Source organism: Homo sapiens, chromosome 17 (genome assembly GCF_000001405.40).
Source record: "Homo sapiens chromosome 17, GRCh38.p14 Primary Assembly".
Classification (NCBI taxonomy): domain Eukaryota; kingdom Metazoa; phylum Chordata; class Mammalia; order Primates; family Hominidae; genus Homo; species Homo sapiens.
In genome coordinates, this window is record NC_000017.11 from 58,192,726 (window position 1) to 58,205,440 (window position 12,715).

General features: G+C 51.8%; 1 protein-coding gene across 1 annotated transcript, besides 1 other annotated feature; it reads left to right on the top strand.

Annotated features, from left to right (window-relative positions):
- EPX (eosinophil peroxidase) lies at positions 1 to 12,449 on the top strand. Its single transcript, NM_000502.6, has 13 exons — positions 1 to 197; positions 313 to 406; positions 646 to 821; positions 989 to 1,106; positions 1,238 to 1,367; positions 2,239 to 2,445; positions 4,214 to 4,532; positions 6,315 to 6,475; positions 6,814 to 7,069; positions 7,500 to 7,670; positions 10,356 to 10,593; positions 11,497 to 11,709; positions 12,011 to 12,449. The coding sequence occupies exons 1-12, from the start codon at positions 122 to 124 to the stop codon at positions 11,696 to 11,698; spliced, it is 2,148 nt and encodes a 715-aa protein (NP_000493.1). The 5' UTR covers positions 1 to 121; the 3' UTR covers positions 11,699 to 11,709; positions 12,011 to 12,449.
- Positions 7,355 to 8,198: an enhancer, noted in NCBI's record as "H3K4me1 hESC enhancer chr17:56277441-56278284 (GRCh37/hg19 assembly coordinates)". NCBI's record gives its function as "activates a minimal SCP1, AML or CMV promoter by ChIP-STARR-seq in naive H9 embryonic stem cells {active_cell/tissue: H9 hESC(naive)}" and the evidence as "EXISTENCE:reporter gene assay evidence [ECO:0000049][PMID:30033119]".

Below are 12,715 nucleotides of genomic sequence, written 5' to 3' on the forward strand. Positions count from 1 at the left end.
GAAGAGCTGGAGGAAGTGAGAGGTCGGCTGGGGGTCCTCAAAGTGAGAGGGGAGCAGAGGATCCTCCCGTGCAGGCTGTGGATGTCACTCACTTCCCAGCTGGTGAAGCCTCGCTGCAGAGATGCATCTGCTCCCAGCCCTGGCAGGGGTCCTGGCCACACTCGTCCTCGCCCAGCCCTGTGAGGGCACTGACCCAGGTAATAGTCCCCTAGACAGGCAAGGAGGAGGGAGGGGAAATGGAAGGGGAAGCACTTGGGTCTTGGAGGGGGTCTTGTGGCTTGCTGAACCCTGAGTCCCCATCTCTTTGAACAGCCTCCCCTGGGGCAGTGGAGACCTCGGTCCTGCGAGACTGCATAGCAGAGGCCAAGTTGCTGGTGGATGCTGCCTACAATTGGACCCAGAAGAGGTGGACTTGGGTCTGGGGGCTGCATGGGCCTGGGAGGATCAGTGAGGGGCATGGGCCCCAGCCAAGTTCATCTCACTCATCAGCCACCTCTGGACCCCATGAACATTTCCTGTTGGTAGAGCCTCCCTTCCATCCATCCTTCTGTCCGCTTGCCCTGTCCTGACTGTGCCCCAGGACTGGGTCTCTGCTGGGTGGGTCTGCACCCTCTCTCCAGCCCTCACTCCTCCTCTCCTGGGCAGCATCAAGCAGCGGCTTCGCAGCGGTTCAGCCAGCCCCATGGACCTCCTGTCCTACTTCAAACAACCGGTAGCAGCCACCAGGACAGTTGTTCGGGCCGCAGATTATATGCATGTGGCTTTGGGGCTGCTTGAAGAGAAGTTACAACCCCAGCGGTCCGGACCCTTCAATGTCACTGGTACTCTGATCCCCACTGAGCCCGCTGGGCCTACCCTGGCCTGGAGTAGAAGGAATCCAGGAGAGGGAGGCAGGGTGCACAGGTTTGGGGTGCTGGGAGGAGAGAGGGTAAAGGGATGGGAGGTACAGAGCAGGCCAGCTCAGGTCTGCCCATTTGCCTTCCCACAGATGTGCTAACAGAACCACAGCTGCGGCTGCTGTCCCAGGCCAGTGGCTGTGCTCTCCGGGACCAGGCCGAGCGCTGCAGCGACAAGTACCGCACCATCACTGGACGGTGCAACAACAAGTGCGTGCGGGGCGGCAGGAGGGGCTGCCCCTGCCTGGGGGACCTCTCCCTTCCTGCACCCACCCTCTCCCTCCATGCTGAGCCATCTCCAGGCCCTGCCCCCTGCTAACCTATCCCACCCATGGCTGCAGGAGGAGACCCTTGCTAGGGGCCTCCAACCAGGCTCTGGCTCGCTGGCTGCCCGCCGAGTATGAGGATGGGCTGTCGCTCCCCTTCGGCTGGACCCCCAGCAGGAGGCGCAATGGCTTCCTTCTCCCTCTTGTGAGTTGGGGCTGAGGGTTTGGGAGGTTGCTTGATCTCTTAAATGCGGGGAGTAAAACACAGCCCAGAGTCACGCAGGCAGGGCTTGAACCCAGGCCCTTCCACTGACCAGTGCAGTGACTTGAGGCAAATAACACAGCTTTCTGAGGCTTAGTTTCCTCATCTGTAAAATGGCCCTAAAACCTACCTCGTAGAGCCTGTGTGGATATTGAAGTCCTTGGTATAAATAGCTATAGAGGACATGATCTATTCATGCTAACCATTACGGTGTTGTACGGTTTTTTCTGAGAAAATTAGTGTCAAAGTCTTGCTAAATATAAACAGCTCTATACCTTAATCTGGCTTTATCTATTGATCTATTTCACATTTATCAACTCATCAGTTTTCTATTGATATATCGATAGAGCAGTCTATCATCTACCCATCTATCAACATCTATTAATTAATTTTCTTCTATCCACCCTTCCATCTGCTGACCCCGTACTCCCTACGTGTATTATCCATCACCTGGCAACCAGCCCATGCACCTGTGAATCCGTGCTATCATCTGGTTAGCTATCAGTGTACAAATTGATCTATCTATTTGATCTCCCTTCCCCTCTGGGAGAGCTGGTGAGGTCTGAGCCAGTCAACCTAGCCCCTCTCCTTCTCTTTACCACCGGAATCCTCAGGAGCCCAGCCAGAAACCATCCTTCTAGGAATGAGAGCAGGAGGTGGCTACGCCTCCAGGGACAAAAGGGGCATGGAGGGCAGAAGAGGAGAGGCTGTCAATTCCAGCAGGGGAGCTGCTGCTCCCTGAGTCCTGGGTTGGCTCTAATACCTTGTGGGGTCAGGGAGCCCATGTCCCGTGCTGATGTTATTTCCCCACCAGGTCCGGGCTGTCTCCAACCAGATTGTGCGCTTCCCCAATGAGAGACTGACCTCCGACCGTGGCCGAGCCCTCATGTTCATGCAGTGGGGCCAGTTCATTGACCATGACCTGGACTTCTCCCCGGAGTCCCCGGCCAGAGTGGCCTTCACTGCAGGCGTTGACTGTGAGAGGACCTGCGCCCAGCTGCCCCCCTGCTTTCCCATCAAGGTACCTACCCTCAGCCAATCTCCCATGCCCTTGTGTGGCCTCCCCCAAAGGCAAGGTGCTGGGGGTGGGGATCTGGAAGACTGGAGCACCATCCTTAAGGAGCTGCCTGTGGAGCTAGGGTATGAGACAGAGACACAAGAAACACAGCTGAGCAGAGACCCCGCGCCGTGTGTGTTTGAGAGGTGGGGGTAGGGCAATCTGCCAGGAGGCTCAGGTCAGGCTTCATGGAGTGGGAAGCCCTTGACACATGCCTTGACCCATGGGTCTGAATCCAACAGGGGAAGCCTCTGGGCCCCTGCTTTTGGCAACCTAAGGGCCTCTTAGCTCTTGCCCTTCTCTCCTTCCCAGAGTAGTCCAAGGGTCCTGCGGCTCTTGCCAGCTTCTTGGGCTTGGGCTGTAAGTAGGGTCCTAACCTTCAGGCTAGAAGCCAAGGACAGTGTGGGGCACTAGGGGAGGAAAGATAGAATCCAGGGAGCAGAGTCTCTGCTAGGAACATAGGGTTGACACACGTGCACACACACACTCTCTCACACACACACACGTGCACACACACGCTCCCTCTCACACACACATGTACACACACAGTCACCCTTAATAGGTGGGGCCACATTCATGAGGGATGACATGTGAGGGCCTCTGGATGGCCTCTCCCTGTTGCAACCTTATCTATTCCTCAATCCCTGGCTTAGGGGCACCTCCTCTGGGGAGCCTTCTCAGATCTTCCTATTACACTTTTAACATATGTCCTCCCCTCCCCTCTCCTCTCTCTCCTTCCTTCCTTCTTCCTTCCTCTTTCTTTCTTTCTTCTTTCTTTCCTTTCCTTCCTTCCTTCCCTTCCTTCCTTCATTTCCTTCCTTCCTTTCTTTCTTTCTTTTTCTTTCTTTTTCTTTCTTCCGTCCTTTCTTTCTTTATCTTTCCTTCTTTCTTTCTTCTTTATTATTATTATTATTGTTTTGAGACAGAATCTCACTCTGTTGTCCAGACTGGAGTACAGAGGGGCAATCTCAGCTCACTGCAACCTCTGCCTCCTGGGTTCAAGCAGTTCTCATGCCTCAGCCTCCCGAGTAGCTGGGATTACAGGCATGTGCCAACAAGCCTGGCTAATTTTTGTATTTTTAGTAGAGATTGGGTTTCACCATGTTGACAAGGCTGATCTCAAACTTCTGGCCTCATGTAATCCACCTGCCTCGGCCTCCCAAAGTGCTAGGATTATAGGCGTGAGCCACCACACCTGGCCCACATATGGCTTTTCTATCAAGCACAGCAGATGCCACTTCAACTTAGTTTCTTAACTCTATGTGTGTGTGTCTTTTTCCACTGAACTGCCAGCTTCCTGCAACCTTTCCTGTGTTTTTTTAACCTTCATAATCTCCAAAGCAGCAAGCAAGAAAGGGGCTTAGAAAAGGTCTGTCGAATTGAACAGAATTAAAGAAGCTCAGGCCTAAGAGTCAAGAGAACTAAGTTCTAATCCCACCTTTCCTGCTAACTGGTTGTCACTTCCCCTCTCTGAGGCTGTTTTCCTTGCTGTAAAATGAGGATCGAGATTGTTTCAAAAGCCTCATTCATTCCTAACCTTTTGAGACTCTATGAAACAAAATGTTAAGGACACTCAGACTGACGGGGTGAGCAGCATGAGCCTGGGTGAGTCAAGGAGGGCTTCCTGGAGGAAGGGAGTTTTAAGCAAGGTTTTGAGGAGGTGGAAGATGACGGAGAGGAGTGAGTCTGCTATTGAGGGGGCCCCATGTCACTGTCTCCTCTTCCATCTCAGATCCCACCCAATGACCCCCGCATCAAGAACCAGCGTGACTGCATCCCTTTCTTCCGCTCGGCACCCTCATGCCCCCAAAACAAGAACAGAGTCCGCAACCAGATCAACGCGCTCACCTCCTTTGTGGACGCCAGCATGGTGTATGGCAGTGAGGTCTCCCTCTCGCTGCGGCTCCGCAACCGGACCAACTACCTGGGGCTGCTGGCCATCAACCAGCGCTTTCAAGACAACGGCCGGGCCCTGCTGCCCTTCGACAACCTGCACGATGACCCCTGTCTCCTCACCAACCGCTCGGCGCGCATCCCCTGCTTCCTGGCAGGTCAGACAGGGAGGAAGGTGGTGTCTTCCCAGGAAACAGCCATCCCTGGGGTCCCAACTGGGAAGCAATGGTGGGATGTGGTGAAGGTACATGGTTTGGGACCTCAGTATTAGGCACACCATAAGCATGGATCTGTGCACAGCCATCATAGAATCAGAACGTTGAGTCCCTTTGCAAGCTCCCTGTGTGTGGCCAGAGATAACTGCTTAACCGTCTCCAGTGACAAGGCTCTCACCGCCTCTATGGCACCCCAGCTCAGCCACAGGCAGCTCCGACTGTTAGAAAGTCTCCTTATTTTGATCACATATTCACCTATTCCCCTTAATCATGCTTCTGGAACCTCAGAAAAGACACTGTCCCTCTTACACGCAGGAATACCTCAAAGTAGCTGTTAACTCCATCTCCATTTTTTTTCTCTTCTCTGGGATAAATTTCCGTAGTTCCTCCCTGTCCCCAGCTGTTGCTAGACAGTTAATACCCTCTTCTGGAAGCATAATTTGAACTTTCCTCAGGGTCTTTTGTCCCATGTACATGGTTACAATAATAATGGTAGTCATTTCTCATTAAGATATTTATCTTATTATTATTATTATTTTAAGATGGAGTCTCACTCTGTCGCCCAGGCTGGAGTGCAGTGGCGTGATCTCAGCTCACTGCCACCTCTGCCTCCTGGGTTCAAGTGATTCCCCTGCCTCAGCCTCCCGAGTAGCTGGAATTACAGGTGCCTGCCACCACGTTTGGCTAATTTTTGTATATTTAGTGGAGATAGAGTTTCACCATGTTGGCCAGGCTGGTCTCGAACTCCTGACCTCAGGTGATTCACCTGCCTTGGCCTCCCAAAGTGTTGGGATTACAGGTGTGAGCCACCACGCCCAACCTTATCAAGATATTTAAATGTGCCATCTCTAAACCTTGCAACAGCCCTGAAAGGAGGGAATTATTATTGTTCTCATTTTACGATAAGAAACTGAGACTCAGGGAAAGTGAATCATGCGCCCAAGAGCACAGAGTTAGTTTCAAATGACAGAGTCCACTTGAGAACACAGTCAGTGTAGTATCAAGGTCTCTGCCCAGTCCACTGTATTCCACTGTTTTCCTCACAGAGAGTCGGCCCCAACCCCTCTTTTGAAGGATTGTACATTTGTGTGTCCTGGAAAGAGCAGCTTGTGCCTTCGGGAGAGGTCAACTGAACTAAGACCTTGTGCAAAAGGGTTTAGTTAAAACCAAGCAAATGATGGAATTAACTTTCTTTCCCTGCCTGTAGTAGGTCTGTTCGTAAGGACAGTCTCTGCCCAACCCTCCCTCTCTTCCTCTTTCCCTCTGGTTCACGGGGGAGAGCAGTATTATACCAAGCCCAAAGATAGGAAGAGGTACACCAGCCCTTGGCAGAGAACACGCAGGCAGATGCAGCTCATGGACAGGTGGGCTCTCAGTCCCAAAGTCAAGGTGCCCTTGCCCATAGCTGGTCCAGGCTATGGATCTGGTTGTCTTGTAGAGTAGAATCCTTAGGCAAAGATGCCCCTGCCTGAGACCAGCAGCTGCCCTGTGCTTTCCCACCTCACCCAAGCCTGCTAGGAACCCCCGGTCCTTCCGCTCCTGGCCTGTGGTGTTAGGGAGGAGGGTGGCGATGAGGAGCCTCAGCACAGCTGAAGAGATGGAGGTCCAGTGAGGGCCAGGAGTTTGGCCCACCCCGTCTCTCCCATCCCCAGCCCTGGGTCTACCCTGGTAGAAAGACATTTCTCTGGGAAAGGCTGCAGTAAATCTGAGCTTGGGGTTTTCAAGGTGACACCCGATCAACGGAAACCCCCAAACTGGCAGCCATGCACACCCTCTTTATGCGAGAGCACAACCGGCTGGCCACCGAGCTGAGACGCCTGAATCCCCGGTGGAATGGAGACAAACTGTACAATGAGGCTCGGAAGATCATGGGGGCCATGGTCCAGGTAAGGAGCTCTGCATCCCAGCATCCCCCAGATGACAAGCTTGGCATGAGAAGCAGTCCTTAACACATCCTTGCGGATGTGCCTAAAACCAGCTGGGTCTGGGCAACTGGCGGAGCACCTGGACCTGTCCTCTGGCCCCGATTCTGCCTCTAACTCCCGTGTGACCCTGTCTGTGTCACTCACCCTCTCTGGGCTTTGTATCTCCACCCACCAATAGTAAATTAATGTTGTCACATTTGACGTGATGACAATAAAGAATATGTCTGAGCCACCCTTTGAAAAGGCAAGGGTATGGGTGAGTAGCCTCTGGGGAATGTTCCTCCTGTCTTCCCTTCCAGATCATCACCTACCGAGACTTTCTGCCCCTGGTTCTGGGCAAGGCCCGGGCCAGGAGAACCCTGGGGCACTACAGGGGGTACTGCTCCAATGTGGACCCACGGGTGGCCAATGTCTTCACCCTGGCCTTCCGCTTTGGCCACACAATGCTCCAGCCCTTCATGTTCCGCTTGGACAGTCAGTACCGGGCCTCCGCACCCAACTCGCATGTCCCACTTAGCTCTGCCTTCTTTGCCAGCTGGCGGATCGTGTATGAAGGTGACCAGGTTTTCCAGGGGGCAAATGGGGGTGAGGGTGGGGAGCATGCCCTCCCCTAGGTGGGCCAAGCTTACTGCCAGGAAGCCAGGCTGCTGCAGAGGCCACTGCTAATATCTCCCCAGGACAGTGGAAACAAGGCAGGTGCCAGCAAGACCCTCAGTCACGGGCCTCCCATCCTGTGTGGAATGAGAGGATTTTTTAAAGGGGTGGAGACTAATGTCAGATTGATGGGGAGCTCACCTTCCATTCCTTAAGAAGTACCTCCCAGCTCCAGCTGCTTCATGTCTCTCCAGAACTCTGTTTCCTGACAAACGTTACTAACATACCCGACTGGCTTGTCCAGCTCTGGGCTAGCTTGGCATCATGTGATAACCCAAGTAGCTTCCCAGAGGCTGGTCCAATCTGTGCTGCTCACATTCCCTGCCACCAGGGGGCATCGACCCCATCCTCCGGGGCCTCATGGCCACCCCTGCCAAGCTGAACCGTCAGGATGCCATGTTAGTGGATGAGCTCCGGGACCGGCTGTTTCGGCAAGTGAGGAGGATTGGGCTGGACCTGGCAGCTCTCAACATGCAACGAAGCCGGGACCACGGCCTTCCAGGTGAGGGGGCTGTCCACCTCTTCTCCCAGCTTTGCTCGGGCCAGGCTGCTCAAGGGGTTCTGGGAAGACCCTGGTACCTCCTTTCTGACTGGGACTGTCTACAGGATGTGCAGGAGTGCAGAGGCATGCAAGGCCAAGGTCGATGTCCCAAAGCACTCCTGGAACACCGCTTGCTGTCCTGCCATGGCTCCCCCATCCACTGTAGGGGCTCCAGCTTTAGGTTCACCACAGGACCAGCACTTAGGCTCAGGAGCTGAAAAAGGGAGGCTCGAACTTTCCAAGTAGAAAAAAAGCAATAGGCTTAAAAGGCAGGGAAGAACTGCTCCATTCCCAACACGCTGGCAAGTTCCAAGGAGGAAGGCTAAAATTCCAGAGCTACAGAAACGCTCCTTGCTCTAAGTGGAGAAAGGCAAAGAGCCTTAGAGGCAGGGAATAGGTGGAATAAAACTAAGGCTGCAGTGGCTGTTTGGTGAGGGCACAAATGACTTTATCCCAGGAAAGAAGAAAATATAGGCACTTTGTTAGTCACTTTCATGTATATTAATTTATTTTGTTCTCCCAATCACCTTGAGAAGCAAATGATTACAGCCATTTTATAGATGAGAAACTATGTTCAGAGACAGCTAGTAATTTGCCCAAGATCACATAAATAAGAAGTAGTAAAATCTGAATTTAAATTTACAATTTCTCCTTTCTTCCCCCTGTTCAACCCCAGTAGGGGAAGGTTTTGGCCACTGCCTTGCTCCTCTCTCCTTCCCACCTCCTACCTCCCTGTCTAGAAAGAACCTGAAGGCCCATCTGCCCATGTATGAAGCAGTGGTGGCACCTCCTACTGCCCACCCCACTTCACACAGCGCCTGGTAGAGCACAGCAGGCACTCCGGAAACCTGAGCTTCTTTCCTTTCTTAAACTTGGGCGCTCCTGGCAGCTAAGGAGCTGTGGGCACCCCCTGCCGGAGAGCTGAGATCGCTAGCCACCCAAGTTTCTATTAGGTTTTGAAGGGAAGGCAAGGGTTAAGGAAAGACACAAAGAGAGAGGGCGGCTGAACAGCCAATGCAGGTATTTATTTCCAGCATAAAACCTACAGAGGTGGGGGACCAGCTTATTGCCAGAACCTGCCGCCGCCTACAGCTGGGGTACTGGGTATGGGTATGGGTATGGGCAGGAGGGGTCTGGGTCGTATGGCTTGCTACCCAGCAGGATATTGATAAGATGTACCTATGATCAGGTCCTTTTTTCAGTGGGATGTGGTAAGATGTTCCTTGGACCTTTGCCCAGCAGGATATGATAGGGATGTTCCTTCAGTTGGGCCTTTGCCCATTAGGGTATGTTATGTTTTTCATGGCCCGACCTCCTGTGGAACGTTTCACTTTGACCAAGGTCTGGGAAATGGTGGGGGGCTTAGAAAATGGTGCAGTTTGGACTAACATTCTTGCCTTCTACTTTGGTATAAAAGGAAGAGCTGGAGAGCTGAGATCGCTAGCCACCCAAGTTTCCACATTGCGAGCTTCTGCTCCCCGCAATACCTGTGCCCTCCAGAAATATTATCCTGACACTAGCTCTTGCAATCTCCTCTAATCCCTTCCCAAGTCCAACATCAAACTGGGAACTGGACAACCTGGTTTGAGCTCCACTTAACAGTAAAGTGACCCTGAAGCCTATGGTTGCTCAACTTTAGTAAACATACCAGATATAGTTAGCATGCCATAAAAGCACCTCAAAAAGGTGCTGTGAGGGTCCTGAGATATTCACCCAATAGTGCTCAGTAATGGTAAAATACTGTGTGGTTTTCATGGGTTCCGCTGGGGGATGGTGTGTGTGAGCTGTAGTTCAATGGATGACGTTGGGCTGGTGTCCCTTCGGGACATGGCAAAGCTATCTCCTACCTTGATTGTCACATCTTATGATGTGGCTTGGCCCTGCGTGGGATCCTGATGGCTGACAAATTGGTATGGCTTGTCTTTGGAAGTTTCTGAAAACTTTTTAAAAACTTCTTTATTGAGATATACCATAAAATTCACCCATATGAAATAGACAATTCAATGATTTTAGTGTATTTAGAGTTATGCACCCATCACCATGATCTAATATCACACCATTTTCACTCCCCAAAGAAACCTTGTAAGAACAGTCAATCCCCATCCCCACCCCAGCCCCAATCACCTCTAATATACTTTGTGTCTCTATATTGACCTATGCAGGACCTCTCATATCAACAGAATCATAGTGTGCCGTCCTTTTCTGAGTAGATGAATTTTATCATTGCTCTCCATTTGTTTGCTTGTTCATTCATTTATTCATTTGCTCACTCATTCATTCTACAAACCTGATGGAGAGTCTTTTATATTCTGGGTACTGTCTTACTTGTGTCTAATGAATGCAGTCGAGCCCAGTAATATCACTAAGTGTCGGATTTGTGGTTATGAGTTTTGGGTTAAAACAGCTTTTTAGGTTAGGACACACTCCTCAGTCTGATGCACACTGAGCACAGTTGTCCACTCACATTTTCAATCAGAGGACAGAAACCTAGTCTTTGGAAGCTCTAGGGACTCTTCTGCCAGCAGGATCTTCTGGTTCTGCCCAATATTGACTGGCCACAGCTTCCCCCCAGAGGACTGGTGGAGAAAAACAGAAGCTAATGGGAGATCAGCAAGACTGAAGCTGCTTCTCCCCGTTCCCCTGCAGGGTACAATGCTTGGAGGCGCTTCTGTGGGCTCTCCCAGCCCCGGAATTTGGCACAGCTTAGCCGGGTGCTGAAAAACCAGGACTTGGCAAGGAAGTTCCTGAATTTGTATGGAACACCTGACAACATTGACATCTGGATTGGGGCCATCGCTGAGCCTCTTTTGCCGGGGGCTCGAGTGGGGCCTCTTCTGGCTTGTCTGTTCGAGAACCAGTTCAGAAGAGCCCGAGACGGAGACAGGTAAGTGACCCTATCATAAAAGACATCAGCACCAGAGGCAGAGCAGAAAAACACTAGCATTTCAAGACTAAACATTGAAGAACACTGCTCTTTTTAGTATCATTTCTTCCAAGTTCACAGGATCTGAAATCAGGAGGCTCCTCTCTGAAAAGCTGGGTCAAAGGAAGAGAGACACTGACCCAGGCAAGGCCCATATTGCCTGAGCTGGAGTCATCTTAAACCCAGAGGTTGCCTGGCAGCCTCACTATTCTGGGTTGGTGGATCCCAGAAAACATGGGCAGAAAGGGCTAAATCTGGTTTCCCTCCAATACATTTGTGATTTAAGACCTGACGGCCGGGCGCGGTGGCTCACGCCTGTAATCCCAGCACTTTGGGAGGCCGAGGCGGGCGGATCACGAGGTCAGGAGATCGAGACCATCCCGGCTAAAACGGTGAAACCCCGTCTCTACTAAAAATACAAAAAATTAGCCGGGCGTAGTGGCGGGCGCCTGTAGTCCCGGCTACTTGGGAGGCTGAGGCAGGAGAATGGCGTGAACCCGGGAGGCGGAGCTTGCAGTGAGCCGAGATCCTGCCACTGCACTCCAGCCTGGGCGACAGAGCGAGACTCCGTCTCAAAAAAAAAAAAAAAAAAAAAAAAAAAAAAAAAAAAAAAGACCTGTCTCCTTATTTGGAGTTGGTATTGCCCGAGTTCAAATCCAGCCCTGGCCACTTAAATTACTGTGCACTTAATACTGGGCAATTTATTTGGCCACTGAATTTGTTTCATTTCTGAGATTCCAATCTTGCAGGAATTTTGTGAGAATTGAATGGAATAATATATGTAAAGTACCTGGCACACAACAGGTGCTCATTATAAGGTAATTCCTCCCCAGCCTTCACCCACATCTCTCGACTGCCTGGTAGGTTCTGGTGGCAGAAACGAGGTGTTTTCACCAAAAGACAGCGCAAGGCCCTGAGCAGAATTTCCTTGTCTCGAATTATATGTGACAATACCGGTATCACCACGGTTTCAAGGGACATCTTCAGAGCCAACATCTACCCTCGGGGCTTTGTGAACTGCAGCCGTATCCCCAGGTTGAACCTATCAGCCTGGCGAGGGACATGAGGCTTCTGCAGGTAAGGGGAGGCCACCTCCAGCACCCTGGGCTGGGTTAAGCCCTCACATCCTTCCCTGGATGGATGGCTGAGTCCTCTTAGGTCTCTAAGCAGAGAAAACAGAACTTGTCACTAGGTACTCTTTCCAAGTGGCTTCCCAATGTGCTAGTTTCTGGGCTGACAGTCAATTCCAGGCCCTAGGACTTTGGGGGGAAATTAGGAGCATCCAACTATCCTCAGCTTGGTCACTAATACCTGAAAACAGCTCCATTTCTAAACATCCAGTAAATTCCTGACTTATCCAGTTCTGTTACTTCCACAGGAGTCTATCCCAAGTCTCCAACTTTTGGAGACAAGGGGAAGGGGAGGACCATGAGGCTGCCTTGTCTCCCTGGAGCAAGTGCAGGCTGCTGACGCTTCTGCTGGCTACAGCTCAGAGCTGGGTTCCCCAGCCAGGAGTGAAGGCTGGGGGCTCCTATCAGCAATGGACCTTCCCGCCTTGGGAGCCTCTTAGGTATTAGGCTATGAATCAGCGCCACGTGCAAAGGCTTGGGAGCCAAGCCATGTGGTCTTGCACCCCAGGCAAGAAAAGTCAGCTGGAGGGTTTACAGCACTTTCTACTGTTTCCCAGCCCTCCCTCCCCTCCCTCACCATGACTAAGAGACCACTCGGTCCTAGCCTCCAGACACCCCACAATACTCCTCTGAGCCTGAGGCCAGGCAGCATGCTCTGCTTCTACCAATAAAGCACTGCTAAGGGCAGGGGCTGCTGTTTCTGTGTTGGGCTAGGGAAGACGTGGCCTCAGTTCCATGCTTTGCTCCAGATGTTTAAGAGAAGTGCTGTTAACACGCAAGCTGGCACAACCATCTAAGCCTCTCCTGGGGGCTGAATTAGGAGAGCCCAAAGAAACACTGTGGAGTAGGGAAAGGCAGAAAAGGGGAAGGGCAGACATGGTAGGGGCCCCGACATTAAGAACACCCTAGCCATACCAGCAACCTGAGCAGACAAACAGCCAACAGAACATCAG